General features: G+C 39.3%; 1 protein-coding gene across 3 annotated transcripts in view; it reads right to left on the bottom strand.

Moving 5' to 3' along the window:
* Positions 1–18,622, bottom strand: part of KAT2B (lysine acetyltransferase 2B) — a 113,959-nt gene that overhangs the window by 58,965 nt on the left and 36,372 nt on the right. For all 3 annotated transcript variants that reach the window (XM_047449147.1, NM_003884.5, XM_005265528.5), the window contains one exon: positions 32–177. In XM_047449147.1, the coding sequence (XP_047305103.1) occupies positions 32–177 (146 nt within the window). The remainder of the gene's footprint in view (positions 1–31; positions 178–18,622) is intronic.

The raw sequence follows: 18,622 nt of genomic DNA, 5'->3' as shown, positions 1-18,622 counted from the left end.
AGAAAATGTTTTTAAAATGTTAAAATCTCACCTTAAATAGATAGAAATAAACTTGTTTGGTATCTGCATCTTCTTCCTTGTGGACACAGGTAAAGAGATATTCCACATCCAATACTATTCCCAGGAGTCTGTTCATTTCTTCCTCTGACACATTCTCCAGGTGGGAAACATGAGCAGCTTATGATAAGATCAAAGAAACATATGTAAGACCTCAATTGGAAACCAAACATTCCCCATTTTTAAGTGGAAGGTCCTCTTTCATCAGTCTTACCATCAATCCTTTAAGTTCACTGGTAATAAGAGAAAATTTCTGAACTCCTGTAGGACTGAAGTCTTCTCACAAAATCTACCTATAATTAAGAGACTACCATGTTCTTGAGCCTTAGCCTCCCCACCCAACGTTAAAAATGGGCTGGTGGCTAATGTATGCAAATAATGTATATTTTAAGAATCAGTACTGGTAGCATCAAGACTGGTCCTAATAGGGTCAACTTCTTAGGTTTCCATATAAGCAAATTCTCCACCATGTCAAGAGGGTTCTCTATGGTCCTAGTCATGAATGCAGGACTTGTAAGTTGGTGGTTCAGAGATGCAGAAAACCAAGCTCCCTAAAGGTATAGCTCTAAGTCCTGTGGAGAGCTCATTCACCAAAGAATATCATGACAGTGTAAAGACTGAAGGCCTTTTTCTTCAGCCTTTCTGATTGAGACACACTAAAACCTCACTGTCTGCTGCAAAGTCCCCACGGCCTATTTTAGCTTGACATTCAACATCCTCCGTGATCCAGCTGCAAACCCACTTTTGCATCTTTGTTCTGTTGTCTTACTATAGTTTTGTGACCTGTCCATTGACTCTCTCCTCACTCATCCCTTTGTGATCTCTTCTACTCAAATACAGTCCATCTTTTAAGGTTATTACATTTAATCCCCAATCCCATGCGGTCGGTATTAGTAATTGCATTTTACAATTGAGGAAACTAAGGCTCTGATATGGTTTGGCTCTGTGTCTCCACCCAAACATCATCTCAAATTGCAATCCCCACATGTCAAGGGAGGGACCTGCTGGGAAGTGATTGGATCATGGAGGCAGTTTCCCCCATGCTGTTCTCATGATAGTGAGTTCTCATGAGATCTGATGTTTAAAAGTGTTTGGCAGGTCCCTCCTCGCTCGCTCGCTCTCTCTCTCCTGCTGCCATGTAAGACTTGCCTTCCTTCTCCTTCACCTTCCACCATGATTGTAAGATTCCTGAGGCCTCCCCAGCCATGCAGAACTGTGAGTCAATTAAACCTCCTTTCTTTATAAATTATCCAGCCTCAGGTAGTTCTTTATAGCTGTGTGAAAATGAACTAATACAGTCTCAGACAGACTAAATATTGTTTCATCAAATGTCACTCAGCCAACAAGGCAGAGCTAGGGTTTGAAACTGAAAAAGGTTTGACCCAAATTCTAAAGCACCTACAAACATATTTTTGTTGACTAAATGATTCACTTCAAGTCCCTTTTCACTTGAAAAAGGATCCCTAGATAAACCATCTAATAATCACCCACTAGCCCAGGAACTTCTCTGGGCTGGAATCATGTCTTTTATTTCTGTTATCCCCAACATCTATTACTACGTTTGCCACATAACAGGAGGCGGCACCTCAAGAACGATCCTCTTAGGTATAGCTCTAAGTGTGCTGGCTTAAAAATGCTTGAAGATTAAAGTGCTTGAAATGATTTTTAAAGAAAGATTAAAATACGTATTTAAAAAGTGATAGATTTTTCCTCGTTCTTTTAAAGGGAGATGAAACTAAAGGCTATTGAGGAATATCTGCCAGGTGCTGGACACAGGTCAGTCTACTCTGGAGACCATGATGCGCTCACCATTGAACCACAATGCTCAGTCAGAAGCCTGGGATAGAGGATGCTGCTAATATCCACCTATATATCCCCCCTCCTTACCACAACTCTTGGTTTCCAACTACCAGCAGCTCCATTTGGCCTAAGGGCTTTTCTTATCACTGTAACCTACTCTGCCACCTATATACCCTCAAGAGCAGCTCTTAGCCAAAGACTAAAGAAGTTAGGGTATAAATACTCATTTCCTCACTCTTCAGATGGAATAACTCTGAGGTAAGTGTTCTACACCAGCTCCCAATTATTCCTGCACAGAATTGAGTACCAATTGCCCACAGTGAGAGCTGGCTTAGTAATTCACTCTTTATTGGCCACCTTTTCCTCAGTGTTTCACTTTTAACTCTCCTACTCTCAACCCAAATAAACTACTTGCACTCAAATCCTTGTCTCAGAGTCTGTTTCTTGGGGAACTCAAACTAACATGTCTAAACAAATGCATTTTCAGAGAGTTAAGAGGATTAAACACCAAGGGGTAGGGGATCCTGAAGGAGCAGGAGCAGCTATGTTTATATCAGACAAAATGGACTTTATGTGAAAAACTGGCTGGGCACGGTGGCTCACACCTGTAATCCCAGCACTTTGGGAGGCTGAGGCAGTCGAATCACAAGGTCAGGAGTTCGAGACCAGCCTGTCCAATATGGTGAAACCCCATCTCTACTAAAAATACAAAAATTAGCTGGGCATGGTGGTGCGTGCCTGTAGTTCTAGCTACTCAGGAGGCTGAGGCAGGAGAATTGCTTGAACCCAGGAGGCGGAGATTGCAGTGAGCCGACATCACACCAGTGCACTCCAGCCTAGTGACAGAGGGAGACTCCATCTCAAAAACAACAACAACAACAAAAAACGATACAGAGACCAAAAAGGGCATTATATAATGATAAAGGGATCAATTCATCAAGAGGATATAACAACTGTAAATACACATGTACCTAATGTTACAGCACCTAATGTTTGCTGTAAATATATAAAATATATATATAATATAATATAAAGCAAACATTAATAAATCTGAGCTGGGCACAGTGGCTCATGCCTGTAATCCCAGCACTTTAGGAGGACAAGGTGGGTGGATCATGTGAGGTCAGGAGTTTGAGACCAGTGGGGCCAACATGGTGAAACCTCGTCTCTACTGAAAATGCAAAAAATAAGCTGGATGTGGCGGCACATGCTTGTAATCCCAGCTACTTGAGAGGCTGATGGGAGAGGATCACTTGAACCTGTGAGGTGGAGGCTGCAGTGAGCCTAGATCATGCCACTGCACTCCAGCCTAGGCAACAGAGCAACACTCCATCTCAAATAAATAAATAAATAAATAAATAAATATGTGAAAGTAGAGATTGAATGAAATACAATAATAGTAGGGGACTTCAATATTACACTTTCAACAATGGATAAATCATTTACACAGAAAATCAATGACAAAGCACTGGGCTTGAACTATACTTTAAAGAAAATGGACCTAACAGACATATACAGAACATTCCATTCAATGAGAGTAGAATACACATTCTTCTCAAGTGCACATGAAATTTTCTCTAGGACAGATCAGATGATAGTCCATAAAACAAGTCTTAACAACTTTTAAAAGACTGAAATCATACCAACTGTCTATTCCAACCACACTGGTAGGAAAGTATTGGATTGGTGCAAAAATAATAGCATTTTTGCCATTCCTTTCAATGGCAAAAACCGCAATTATTTTGGACCAACCTATATAAATCATTAACAGGAGGAATTTTGGAAAATTTACAAATAGGTTGAAATTAAACAGCATTCTCCTGAACAACCAATGGGTCAGAGAAGAACTTAAAAGGGAAATTTAAAAATATCTTAAGACAAACAGAAGTGGAAATACAATATACCAAAACTTACAAAATGCAGCAAAAGCAGTTCTAAGAAAGAAGCTTATGGCAATAAATGCCTATATTAAAAAAGAAAAAAGATCTCAAATGAACAACCTAATGTTACACCTCAAAGAACTAGACAAAGAAGAACGAACTAAAGTCCAAAGTTAGTAGAAAGAGTAAACAAAAAAGATCAGAGCAGAAATAAATGGAAACAAGAAAAACAATAGAAAAGATCAACAAAACTAAAAGTTGGTTCTTTGAAAAGATAAAAAAAATGGACAAACTTTTAGCTGGACTACAAAAGAAATAAAAGAGAAGACTCAAAATAAGAAATGAAAAAGGAGACATTATAACTGATACCACAGAAATACAAAGGATTATAAGAGATTATGATGAACAGTTATGTCAATAAATTGGATAATCTAAAAGAAATGGGTAAATTCCTGAAAATGTACAACCTACCAAAACTAAATCATGAAAATATAGAAAATCTGAACAAACTAATAACAAGTAAGGAGACTGAATCAGTAATTAAATAAAAAATCTTCCATCATGGAAAAGCCCAGGACCTGATGGCTTCAAGGCTGAATTCTACCAAACACTTTAAAAAGAACTAATACTAATTCTCAAACTCTTCAAAAAGCCCAAGTGCAGTGGCTCATGCCTATAATCCCAGCACTTCAGGAGGCTGAGGTAGGAGAAATGCTTAAGCCTAGGAGTTCAAGACAAGCCTGCACAACATAGTGAGACCCTGTTTCTACAAAAAATAAAAATAAATAAATAAAAATTAGGCAGGTGTGGTGTCACATGCCTGTAGTCCCAGCTACTCAGGAGGCTGAGGTTGGAGGATTGCTTGAACCCACCCCACAAGATTGAGGTTGCAGTGACCCATGCTTGTGCCACTATACTCCAGCCTTTATGACAAAGTGAAACTCTAAAAAAAAACTTCAAAAAACTGAAGAGGGATGCATACTTCCAAACTCACTTTACAAGGTCAGCATTATACTAATACCAAAGCCAGACAAGGAAACTACAAGAAAAGAATATTACAGGCCAATATCCCTGATGAACATGGATGCAAAAATACACAACAGAAAACCAGCAATCTGAATTCAACAGCAGATTAAAAGAATCCTTCACCACGAGCAAGAGGAATTAATCCCAGGGATGCAAGGATGGTTCAGCAATAAATTGATACAGCAAATTAACAGAATGAAGGAGAAAAATCATATGGTAATCTCTAAAGATACAGAAAAAGCATTTGACAAAATTCAACATCCTTTCATGATAAAAACTCTCAACAAATTAGGCATAGAGGGAATGTGCTGTACCTCAACACAAAAAGGCCGTATGTGACAAACCCACAATTAACATCACACTCAATGGTGAGAAGCTGAAAGCTTTTCCTTTAAGATTAAGAACAAGAAAAATATACCCACCCTTGCCACTTCTTTTCAACGTAGTATTGGAAGTCCTAGCCAAAGCAATTAAGTAAGAAAAAGAAATGAAAGTATCCAAATCAGAAAAGAAGAAGTTAAATTGTCTCTGCAGATAACATAATTTTATAAACAGAAAACCCTAAAGACACCACCAAAAAGCTTTTAAAACTAATAAACAAACTCAGTAAAGTTGCAGGATACAAAATCAACACACAAAGATCAGTACCATTCGTTTTTTTTTTTCTTGTTTTGTTTTTTTGTTTGTTTGTTTTTTAATAGAGATGGCTTCTCACTATGTTGTCCAAGCTGTTCTTCTCAAATTCTGGGCTCAAGCAATCCTTCCACCTCCTAAAGCATTGGGATTACAGGCAAGAGTAACCATGCCCAGCCATGTTTCTGTATACTAACAACAAACTATCAAAACAAAACAAAAAATCAAGGAAACAATCTCATTTATAACAGCATCAAAAACAATCAAATACCTAGGAATAAATTTAGCCAAGGAGATGAAAGATATGTACACTGCAAACTATAAAACACTGATGAAAGAAAGTAGGCCAGGCGCAGTGGCTCACACTGGGAGTCCCAGCACTTTGGGAGGCTGAGGCAGGCAAATCACAAGGTCAGGAGCTTGAGACCAGCCTGGCTAATATGGTGAAAACCCATCTCCACTAAAGATAAAAAAAATTAGCCGGGCATGGTGGCGCACGCCTGTAATCTCAGCTACTCAGGAGGCTGAGGCAGAAGAATCACTTGAACCTGGGAGGCAGAGGTTGCAGTGAGCTGAGATTGCGCCATTGCACTCCAGTTTGGGTGACAAGGTGAGACTCCATCTCAAAAAAAAAAAAAAAAAAAGTGAAGAAGACACGAATAAGTGATAAGATATCTTTTATGTTCACAGATTGGAAGAATTAATACTGTTAAAATGTCCATATTACCCAAAGTGATCTACAGATTCAATGCAATCCCTATCAAAATTCCAATGACATTTTTCACAGAAATAGAAAAAATAATCTTAAAATCTGTACAGAACTACATAAGACTCCAAATAGCCAAAGCAATCTTGAGCAAAAAGAACAAAGGCAGAGTCATCACACTACACTTGATTTCAAAATCTACTACAAAGCTATCTCAATCAAAACAAAATGCTACCAACATAAAAAACAAATACATAGACCAACTGAACAGAATAGACAGCCCAGAAATCTATCCATTTACAGTCAACTGATTTTCAACAAAGATGCCAAGGGGAAGGGACAGTCTCTTCAATAAATGCTGTTGGGACAACCGGATATCCACATGCAAAAGAATGAAATTAGACCCTTATCTCATACCATATACAAAAACCTATTCAAAATGGACTAAAGACTTAAATATAGACCTGAAACTGTAAAACTACTAGAAGGAAACATAGGAAAAAGCTTCTTGACATTGGTCTTCGCAAAGATTTTTTGAATATGATCAAAAAGCACAGGCAACAAAACAAAAATAGACAAACTGGATTGCATCAAACTAAAAAGCTTCTATATAGGAAAAGAAACAATCAACAGAGTAAAGAGACAACCTATGGAATGGAAGAGAACATTTTCACACCATACATTTGATGAAGCTAATATCCAAAATATATAAGGAACTTATACAACTCAATGGTAAGAAAACAACCCAATTTTAAAATGTGCAAAGGATATGAACAGACATTTCTCAAAAGAAGACATACAAATGGCCAACAGGTATATGGAAAAATGTTCAACATCACTAATCAGAGAAATGCAAATTAAAATCACAATGAGATATCACTTCACGCTCAGGATAGCTATTATCAAAAAGATGAAAGATGAGTGTTGGCAAGAATGTGAGGACAAGGAACCCTTGCACACTGTTGGTGGGAATGTAAATTAGTACAGCCAGTATGGTAAACCATATGGATATGTCTCAAAAAATCCAAAACAGAACTACCATATGACCTGACCCAGCAATTCCACTTCTGGATATATATCCAAAGAAAAGGAAATCAGTATGTCAAAAAGACATCTGCATTCCCATATTCACTGCAGCATTATTCACAATAGCCAAAATATGGAATTTACCTAAGTGTCCACCCCAACAAATGAATGGATAAAGAGAATGTAGTATATGAACACAATCAAATACTATTCAGCCTTAAAAACTAAGGAAATGGCCAGGCACAGTGGCTCACACCTGTAATCCTAGCACTTTGGAAGGCTGAAGTAGGAGGACTGCTTGAGCCCAGTTCAAGACCAGCCTTGGTAAGATGGCAAGACCCTGTCTCTACAAAAAAAAATTTTTTTTTAATTAGCTAGGTATGGTGGCTCAGATCTGTAGCCCTAGTTACTTAGCAACCTAAGGCAAGAGGATCCCTTGAGCCCAGGAGTTTGAGGCTACAGTGAACTATGATTGTACCACTGCATTCTGGCCTGGACAACAAAGTGAGAGCCTGTCTTAAGGCTAAGTGAAATAAGCCAGGCACAGAAAGACAAATACTGCATGATCTTATTTGTATGTAGAATCTTAAAAAGTCAGAATCACAGAAGCAGAAAGTAAAATGATGGTTATTAGGGACTTGGAACGTGAGGTACGGGTAGAGATGCTGGTCACAGAGTACAAAGTTTCATTTACACAGAAGTTCTGGAGATCAATTGTGTGGCATGGTGACTATCATTAATAATAATACATTGTAATTATATAATTGAAAATTGCTAACAGAATCAATTTTAAATATTTTCACCACAAAAAATTAAAAGTATGTGAGGTGATAGATATGCTAATTAGCCTGATTTAATCATTTTATAATATATACATCTCAAAATATCACATTATACACGATAAATATATACATTTTTATTTGTCAATTAAACCTTAATAAAACCGAAAAAAATAAATTATTTTCTCATTTTAATTAACATATAATTGTACATATTTATGAGGTACCCAGCAATATTTTGATACATTTAATATACAGTGATCAGATCAGTGTAATTAGCATATCCATCATCTCAAATATTTATCATTTCTTTGTGTTGGAAACACTCGGTATCATCCATCTAGCTATTTGAAACTAGATATTATTGTTAACCACAGTCATCTTACAGTGGCATAGAACACTAGAACTCATTCTTCCTATCCAGCAGTAATTTTGTATCCTTTAAAAAATCTCAGCCAGGCGCAGTGGCTCACGCCTGTTATCTCAGCACTTTGGAAGGCCAAGGCAGGTGGATCACGAGGTCAGGAGTTCAAAAGCAGCCTGGCCAACATGGTGAAACCCCATCTCTACTCAAAATATAAAAATTATCCAGGCATGGGGGCACATGCCTGTAATCCTAGCTACTTGGGAGGCTGAGGCAGGAGAATGACTTGAATCCAGGAGGTGGAGGTTGTGGTGAGCTGAGATTGCACCACTGCACTCCAGCCTGCGAGACTCCATCTCAAAAAAAAAAAAAAATCTATTTGTTTTTAAATAACACAAATGTCCTAGAGGAAGACAGTTTAAAGGGCTTAAAATTAGAGAGGTAGAGGCCACCCACCTTTCATTTCTAATACAGAAAAGTAATTGAAAGGCAGAGTGATGGACCCATGATGAGGAATATGCATGGGTGTGCACCCCAATACAGCATTTTTGTGGGGTGGGGCAGTGTCAAGACAGGGTCTCCCTTGGTCATCCAAGCTGGAGTGCAATGGTGCGATCTTGGCTCACTGCAGCCTTGACCTCCTGAGCTTAAGCGATCCTCTGACCTCAGCCTTCCAAGTGGCTGGGACTATAGGCGTGTACCACCATGCCTGGCTAATTTTTTTGTATTTTCCGTTGGCGCAAAGTTTCACCATGTTGCCCAGGCTAGTCTTGAACTCCTGGGCTCAAGTGATCCTCCCGTCTCGGATTCCCAAAGTGCTAGAATTACAGGTGTAAGCCACCATGCCCAGACTCCAATACAGCTTGTTTTTCTTCCTTTTTGTTTTTGTTTTCTTTGAGACAGTGTCTCACTCTGTCACCCAGGCTGGATTGTAGTGGCACAATTATGGCTCACTGCAGCCTCGACTTTTCTGGGCTCAGGTAATCCTCCCACCTCAGTCTCCCAAATAGCTGGGACTACAGGTGCATACCATCATGCCCAGCTAGTTTTTGTATTTTTATGTAGAGATGGGGTTTCACCATGTTGTCCAGGCTGGTCTCGAACTTCTGAGCTCAAGCGATCCATCCACTGTGGCCTCCCAAAGTGCTGGGATTACAGGTGTGAGCCACCATGCCCAGCTCAAAACAGCATTTTTAAAAGGTAAGAAGAGAGGAATTAATCTTTATAATCTGTCTGACTTCAGCAGTATTGAATAAAATGTCAACACTGTATTATTACATTATCAAATAGAAAAAGAATAATCAATTAAATTGTTTCTAAGTATATAAATAACTTACATCATAGAAAAATTACATGTAGGCAGGGCGCAGTGGCTCATGCCTGTAATCCCAGCACTTTGGGAGGCCAAGGCAGGTGGATCACCTGAAGTCAGGAGTTAGAGGCCAGCCTGGCTAGTGTGGCAAAACCCTGTCTCTACTAAAAACACAAAAAATAGCCGGGTGTGGTGGTGCATGCCAGTAGTCCCAGCGACTCGGGAGGCTGAGGCAAGAGAATCACTTGAACCCAGGAGGTGGAGGCTGCAGTGAGCCAAAATTGCACCACTGCACTCCAGCCTGGGAGACAGCAAGACTCTGCCCCCTGCAAAAAAAAAAAAAAAGAAAGAAAGAAAAAAGAAAAATTATGTGTGTGTGTAAACACAAAAATTAATGTTTAAATATATTATTTGCTGTTTGACTATACAATACGTTACCTCATCACTTTCTAAAAGATACCCAAAATCAGACTTCATCTTAGGTAGAACATTTGCTGGGTCATCTTTTTCTTAAGACTGCAAAATTTTCCTTGAGGTCAATCTGAAGCCTTTGGGAAACAGGCCTCATTCTGCAGACAATTAGGTCAACATTTTTATGTCAGTTATTTACAGAAATAATTTTATTTAGGACTATTTTTGTCTTATAAACTTTTTTTTTAAATTAATAGACATAGAGATGGAGTCTCACTATGTTGCCCAGGCTAGTCTCAAACACCTGGGCTCAAGCAATCCTCCCACCTTGGCCTCCCAAAGTGCTAGGATTACAGGTGTGAGCCTCTGCATCTGGCCTGTCTTACAAACTTTTAATCTCTTTTTGTGATAAGCTATGAAAGCAATCAGTATACAATATCAAGTAAATTCCTTCAGATGCTCCATAATATGAAACCATCTAATTAAGGTGCTACATATAGTAGGTTTAACTCATGGAAGTACATGCCATGATTTACTTTTGAAATAGTAGCTTACTTTTTCAAAGCCCCAAAACACTTTACCAAAATTAATTACTAATCAGAATTAGAAGGAGTTGCTCTGGATGAAATAGAGGTGAAAGCTTCTATTTTTAGAAGGCTCAAGAACCCATCCCATTCCCTTGTTGGGATTCTGCAGCTTTAAAACCACTGTTTAGAACCAACTTTTTGCATATTTTGAAGAGTAGCCTGATAAAAATTAAAATGCTTAAGTGAAACCTGAGGAGGCTCATTTCCCTCTGACTCTGCCCATAATGAAATGTGCTTGTGGTTTTGTGATTTTTTTTTGCATTTATTAATTATTTATTTATTTATTACCATAATGCAATATGTGATCTCTCCTCAGAGCTCTGTATGAAACCCAAAGTAGAAAGGAATAGGGAGATGGAGATGGGGGAAAATGTAAATAAAGCAGCAACAGTTTCCCAGAAGAGAAGAAAGAGGCTCCCCTGTACAAAGGGTGAGTAACTTTCATAGCAGAAGAGGATAGCTCTTACTCTGAGAATGAAATAAACGCAGGTCTGGAGTGGTAGGGGGAGCACTGAAGCAGGAGAATATTGTATGAGAAAGGTTAAGCTTCCTAGAATAAACAATGAGGTGGAGGAAGATCAAATGAAAGTAGATGGAGTGGACAGTCTGCTGGAGAAGGGTGGAAAAAGGTCCAGACAAGTTGTTATCAAAGAGAAGCTTCCCTGTAATAAGAAAGCCAGACAAGAACAGCTATGACTACACTATATAAATACGTAGTTGTCTAAATGTGCCAACTTCTCAGACCCTCCAATGTAGCCCCTCTCCAAGGAGGCCAACTACAGATCCCTTTTGACCAAAAATCCTTTTCAGCTCTCACCTAACTCAATCTCTGAGGAAGTAGCGCTGAACTTTCTGTTCTCAACAAATACACATCACCAGCTAACCTCTTCTCCAGCTCCAATCTTCCCCGAACCCCACCTTCCATCCTCCCTATCCCAACAAAATAGGTGCACCACCATCACGGAAAATGACTCAAAGACTGAACTCCTCATGGCCCTCCTCAAAATGGCAGCTACCTCTTGCTGGCCCTGTTTCTGCCAACAAGCCCATCATTCATTCCTTTAGTGTCCTTTACCTTCCACACATTACCAGCCACCAGACTCCACTGAGCTTCCTCATTCTCTCTCAGAGACACTGCATTTCCCCATCCTACCTTTCTTCCATTGGAATGTCAAACCTACTATAATAAAATAGCCCCCTAGACTGTTCTCTCTGCTGCCAGGGTAGTCTTCCTAAAATACCACTTTCCTTAAACAACCCCATCTCTACCAGATCCAGAGACTACTCCTGGCTCTTTGGGGATGCTGACCAGAATTAGACTTGTTTAACTTATCTCTAGATTTACCAGTCTCCTAATTAATCCCAACCCATGTCAACACCCAGGTGAACCTCACTCTAACTGCAAAGCTAAACTATTTACTATACTGACAATCAATTCATATTAAACCAAAAAGAGTCATTCATTATTAAAAGAAACCCTTCTCTTAACCTTTTATTAAGAAGACTTTTTGATGCAAATAGGCTCCCTTCAATTATCTAAAAGTATGTTTTCTTAAAGAGATAGGCCTCTATTATTTATGAGTCTAGGAGCATATTATTAAAAACTAAAAAATAAAATAAAAATCTATAAACTACAATGCACAAATCTATAGCAGTCAACCTGCCACAAAACTCAAGATATGAAGTCGCTGCTATGTAAAACTTTGATGTATCGCTCCCTAATTTAACCTCCCTCATCAAGATGTGCATCAATGTACACTGTATCAGTAGTGAGAGACTATTCCTTTTTCCTGTGCTCTGCCTACAGTGGAGAACCATCCTCGGTAATTTAACCAATCTTTTGAAAATTAATAAGCACCCCCTACTGTTTTGATCTGCATTCAACGGAAGGCCCAGGGAGTTGTTTGTTTTTCATACTACTGGCTGTTTGTATTTGATCTCCTGTGTACCTGCCAATTTGAGTTCCTTTGCTTGGTTTTTAAGATGTTAGTCTTTTTCTTACCACCTTGAATAAACCTTATGTACTACCTTTAGTCTGCCATACTCATTGCAAATGCTTACGTATTTGGTGGGGAGGGATTTTTGGTTTATTTGGTTTGGTTGTAGAAAAATGTTAATCTTTTTAGAAAGCCATATCTACGTTGGCAGTTCTTTAAGGTTTTGCTTGCAAAGGTTTTTCCTACATAAACAAAAAATAACAAAAAATGTATTTTTCCTAGCTCTTTAAAGAGTTTGTTTTTAAAATTTAAAACATTCCTCCATCAAAATGTCAATGTTATAAAAGTCAACAAATAAAATAAAATGCTGAGGAACTCCAGATTAAAGAAAACTAAAGAGACATGACAACTAAACAGATATGTGATTCTTGAGTGGAGGCTTAATGGAAAGGAAAATATGTTATAAAGAACATTTTTGGGTCAACAGATAAAATTAGAATACAAACAGTAGATTAGATAAAGGTATTATATTAATGTTAAATTTACTAAAGTTGGTAATTGAACTGAGGTTATTAAGAGAAAACCGTGGCCGGGTGCAGTGGCTCAAGCCTGTAATCCCAACACTCTGGGAGGCTGAGGAGGGCGGATCATTTGAGGTCAGTAGTTCGAGACCAGCCTGGCCAACATGATGAAACCCCATCTCTACTAAAAATAAAAAAATTAGCTGGGCATGGTGGCAGGCATCTGTAATCCCAGCTACTTGGGAGGCTGAGGCATGAGAATCATTTGAACCCAGGAGGTGGAGGCTGCAGTAAGCCAAGACTGCACCATTGCACTCCAGCCTGAGCAACAGAGTGGGTCTCCATTTCAAAAAAAGAAAACCTTATTATTAGGAACTGTATATTGAAATATTTAGGGGAGGAAGGGCTATGATATATAAGTAACTTATTCTCATATAGTTCCAGAAAAACAAATTTATACGTAGAGACTCATATATATATATATATGAGACTCTCTATATACATTTATACATATATATATATGAGCCAATGACAGCAAATAAAATAAAATGTTACTAATAGGTAAATCTAGGGAAAGGATTTATGGGATATTCTTCGTTATTATTCTCATGACTTTTATGTAAATTTTTAATTATTTGCAAATTAAAAGTGTTTTTACAATCTTTCCTCCACCTGAATTTGATCATTAAAGAATCCTGCTTTTACTTTAAATAGTCTTCCAAGAGCCTGATACAAAGCATTGATATACACTAATTACCCAAGATTGACCAACCCTTGAGCTGTGGCAAAGTTTATTCCTTTTGGTGGGCCACAGTTCCCCCAGTGTCCACTTTGTGTGAAGGGCACAAGAAAGCAGACAGAAGGTGCAAGTGAGGGGACGAGGGGAGGCTTTGCCTTCTTTAGATCACTCCAGAAGGGTATACCTTGGCACCTCTCAGTGCTGTGTCAGACTTGCAAACACCCAGGGTGCCAGAGAGTGACCCGCCGTGTGACTGCTGCCAAGAATCACGGTGCAGCTGTCAACCTTGCTGAGAACAGGAAGCACACTGTCACTGTGTGCCGTGACCCTCACTAACCTCTGGCTCCGTGTATCATTGGCCTGCACTTCTCGTGAAGACAGTCAGCCAGTCCTCACATGCCCTGCAGTGTGAACAGGCAGCAGCTGGGCAGGCAGCTAACATGTCCCTGCTCCTCTGGACCAGAAGCAAATAACACAATAGGATTTGAAGGCTGCTCAAATACATTTTTTGTTCATGGGAATTTGGCATCGAGGCTAGAAGAGGTAAAATTAATGACTACAATGAAATCTGTCAAATTGACTAATGTGCAAAAGGCTTATCATTTAAAAGTGGTTTCATTTTCTGTAATCTCAGATCTGGAATGAAAAAAAAGAGAAGCCTAAGAGTAAGAGCCCATTAGATGAGAGCAGTCCAGTAGAAATATAATGCAAGCCACATATGTAAATTTAAGTATTCCAGTAGCTGTGTTTAAAAAGACAAAAGAAGCAGGTGAAATTCATTAAATAATATATTTTATTTAACCTAATATATACCAAAGTATTATTCTTTCAATACGTATGCAATATTAAAAGTTACTATTTACATTCCTCTTCTTGTACTAAGTCTTCAAAACCTGTGTGCATTTCACGCTTACAGCACAATTCAAACTAGTGAAATTGCAAGTGTTCAATAGCCACACATGGCTAGTGGCTACTGTGTTGGACACAGCAGGTATAGATTATAAACTTTGAAAGCTCCTCTGCAAATATATGCAACCAGCCCTCATTTTACCATTATTGAATTCAATGACTATTTACCAACAAAAGAATAAGCACAATTATGCACAACGAACTAAATATATTACAAACTAGAGAAAAAGTCAACTCTTAATCACAGTTCAGTACAGATTGGTATATAATTATAGTTATATAAGAAGGAACATTGCCACAGAGCTCTAAGAAGGCCTTTATTCTCTCTACAGAGTTCTGCAGTCAAGCCTTGGAGGATAAGCAGAATTCCCTGGCAGAAAATGAAGGAAAGGCATTGAAGGTGGTGTGAGCTTCCAGATCTAAGGCAGAGGTGGGAGAAAGTTCAAAGAACCTTTGGAGAACATGGAGCAGCCTGATGGCCAAAATGCAATGAAGATAATTGGAGAAAAGCTTTGAAAATAAAGAGGCCTCAATGAACTGAACCTGCTTGCTCAACTACAGATCACCCTTCACTCTGAGGATAATGAGAAGCTCAGAGGGGTTAAGCAGGAGAATGGGATCACATTGTATCATCACTTTATGGGAAAGCCAGGTATGCAGGAATGGAAATAAGAACTCCAGAAGCTGCAGCAGACACAGGCAAGGAATAATGAGGAAAAGCCTAAATTCAGCCAGTGCTAGAGGCAGGAACTTGAAGGGAGTATCAAACAGGATTTCATGACCAGAGGACGTCAGGGAGACATAACTTATACCAAATGAGCAGAGAAAATATTACCAGTATTATCCCCTTAACTCCTGCTGTGCCCGACCCACAGCTCCTGAAAACTCTGAAACCGGCATCTGAAAGGCTGCATTAGCCAGCAGTGGACATCCAGCCAAGAGGAATATGCTGGCTCAATTCAGGAGGCTGTGTCATTGTGCTAGCTGGGCCCCATGTTTACGTCCTTTGGCATCTGCACAGTACATGTATAAATGGGAACTGAGGGGGCAATTATATGGTACAAGTCTATGCAAATGTCGTATGATCAAAGAAAATGTGTTGAGTCAAATGATCTGCCTAAATGATTTAAATACTTGAAATATCCATGAGAAAAATACTGGTATTTTCTTCATAATACTCAAGAAGTAAGCTCTAGTGTGATTGTTAAAGCTAACTCTTGACCTTCCTTAAAAATCTCTGGGAGTCTCAGGCCAGAAGCGGTGGCTCACGCCTGTAATCCCAGCATTTGGGGAGGCTGAAGCGGGCAGATTACCTGAGGTCAGGAGTTTGAGACCAGCTTGGTCAACATGATAAAACCCGTCTCTACTAAAAACACAAAAATTAGCCGGGCATGGTGGTGGGTGCCTGTAATCCCAGCTACTTGGGAGGCTGAAGCAGGAGAATAGCTTGAACCTGGGAGGCAGAAGTTGCAGTGAGCCGAGATTGCACCATTGCACTCCAGCCTGGGTGACAGAGCCAGACTCTGTGGCAAAAAAAAAAAAAAAAAAAAGAGGCCAGGTGTGGTGGCTCATGCCTGTAATCCCAGCACTTTGAGAGGCCGAGGCGGGTGGATCACCTGAGATCAGGAGTTTGAGACCAGCGTGGCTAACTTGGCAAAATCCACTCTCTACTAAAAAATAATAATAATAATAATTATAAAAATTAGCTGGGTGTGGTGGTATAAGCCTGTAATCCCAGCTACCTGGGAAGCTGAGGCAGGAGAATTGCTTGAACCTGGGAGGCGGAAGTTGCAGTGAGCTGAGATCGTGGAGATCGCGCCACTGCACTCCATCCTGGGCAACAGAGTGAGACTCCTTCTCAAAAAAAAAAAAAAAGCTCTGGGAGTCTCTTTGAATCAATTCTGGTTGTAGGGTGAGGGGTCTGCCTAACTCAAAATTTTAAAAGTTAACAGAAAAGAAATTCCCTACTGTAAACAAGCAGAAAAGCAAGGAATCTATAGTGACAAAAAACAGTCAGTTCCCACTGCTGAATGTGTACATATATATATACATATATATACACATATATCAGAAAAAGATGATGAAGGGTGCGGTAGCTGTAATCCCAGCACTTCGGGAGGCCGAGGTGGGCAGATCGCTTGACCTCAGGAGTTTGAGACCAGCCCAGGCAATATAACAAAATCCGTCTCTACCAAAGATACAAAAAAAAAAAATTAGCTGGGCATGTTGCTGCATGTCTGTGGTCCCAGCTACTCGAGAGGCTGAAGTGAAAGGATCGCTTGAGCCCAAGAGGGGGAGGTTGCAGTAAGCTGAGATCGCACCACTGCACATCAGCCTGGACAGAAGAGAAAGAAAAAGGTGACAACACTGAAAAATAATCAAAAAACCTCTAAACTAAAATATTATTACTAGACAAATTTAATAATCAGTCTATTCTGAAACAGTTCAGAACAATGGACTCCAAAATAACAATAGAAATTCCAATTATGTTTTGATCACAAGGATTTGTTTCCTACTTTCCTGCTCGTAAAAACAGGCTGCCTTTTTATTTATTTATTTATTTATTTATTTTTGAGACAGGGCCTCACTCTGCCACCCAGGCTGGAGTGCAAGTGGTGCGATCTCGGCCCACTGAAACCTCTGCCTCCCAGGCTCAGGCCATCCTCCCTCCCACCTTAGTCTCCCGAGTAGCTGGGACTAAAAGGCACATGCCACCACACCAGCTGATTTTTGTATTTTTTGTAGAGGTGGAGTTTCGCCATGTTGCCCAAGATGGTCTCGAATTCCTGGGCTCAAACAATCCACCTGCCTCAGCCTCCCAAAATGCTAGGATTACAGGTGTGAGCCACCATGCAAGACCCAAGCTGCTTTTTAAATAGCAGTCCCAAAATAAGAAAAATCTTTATTAATACTAAAATAAGGAGAAATGCTGGGACCAACTAAAGCACTTTGTTAGATCCCTTTGTCAAATTTTTGTAAACTGAATATTATTGTGCCAATCCCAAATATAATTTCAGAGAATGAACTAGAATATTCTAAACCAGCACAATTCAATAGAAATACAATGTGATTTTTAAATTTTCCAGTAGAAATAATTTTAATAATACATTAACCCAACATATTCAAAATATTATCATTTCAACATATAATCAATATAAAATATAATTACTGAGACATTCTGCATTGTTTTTGCTTATGATGTCTTCAAAAACTGTGTGTATTTTACACTTACAGTATATCTCAATTCAGAGTAAACACATTTCATGTGGCCAGTGGCTACCGTATTGTACAGCATAGGTCTAGACCAACCATTTCATTCTGTGGATGGAGATACTAAACAGCAAAAAGGTTAAGGAACTTGGTAAACTGCAGGGCCAAGCTAGAATTCTTTTCTTGGTTTTGTTTTGTTAGAGGTGGGGTTTTGCTCTGTCTCCCAGGCTACACACACAGTGGCCCCATCACAGCTCACTTTGGCCTCAAACTCCTGGGCTCAAAGGATCCTCCCATCTCAGCGACCTGAGTAGCTGCCATTACAGGCACAAACCACCATACCCAGACAGGCTAGAATTATTACTTCCTAGTTCCCAACTGAATGTTCTTTCTACTTGATCAGACTATCTCACTCCTGTGTTTTATGTCCATGAAACACAGAACAGTATTAAATTATGGTAGACCAAAGATGTCTGGGATGAAAGAAATTGTCAGGAGACTACACAAAACCACAGCTCCAAAGAACATATATGGCTGAGGCAAAAGAAACCCAACATTTAATCAATAGAATTGATACTATCTCAATCAATAAGCCAGTATGTTTTGTTCTGACAAATTCAAGAATATTTCATTTCGTGTGTACAATTACTGGTGAGTAAATCAACCATGCTCAGAATGGTGACTACTGTATGTGAAAACAGAACAACAATGTATACCAACTGAAA

This window comes from Homo sapiens, chromosome 3 (genome assembly GCF_000001405.40).
Source record: "Homo sapiens chromosome 3, GRCh38.p14 Primary Assembly".
NCBI lineage: Eukaryota > Metazoa > Chordata > Mammalia > Primates > Hominidae > Homo > Homo sapiens.
The sequence above is the reverse complement of the archived record's forward strand: the minus strand, read 5'-3'. Positions and strand labels throughout refer to the sequence as shown.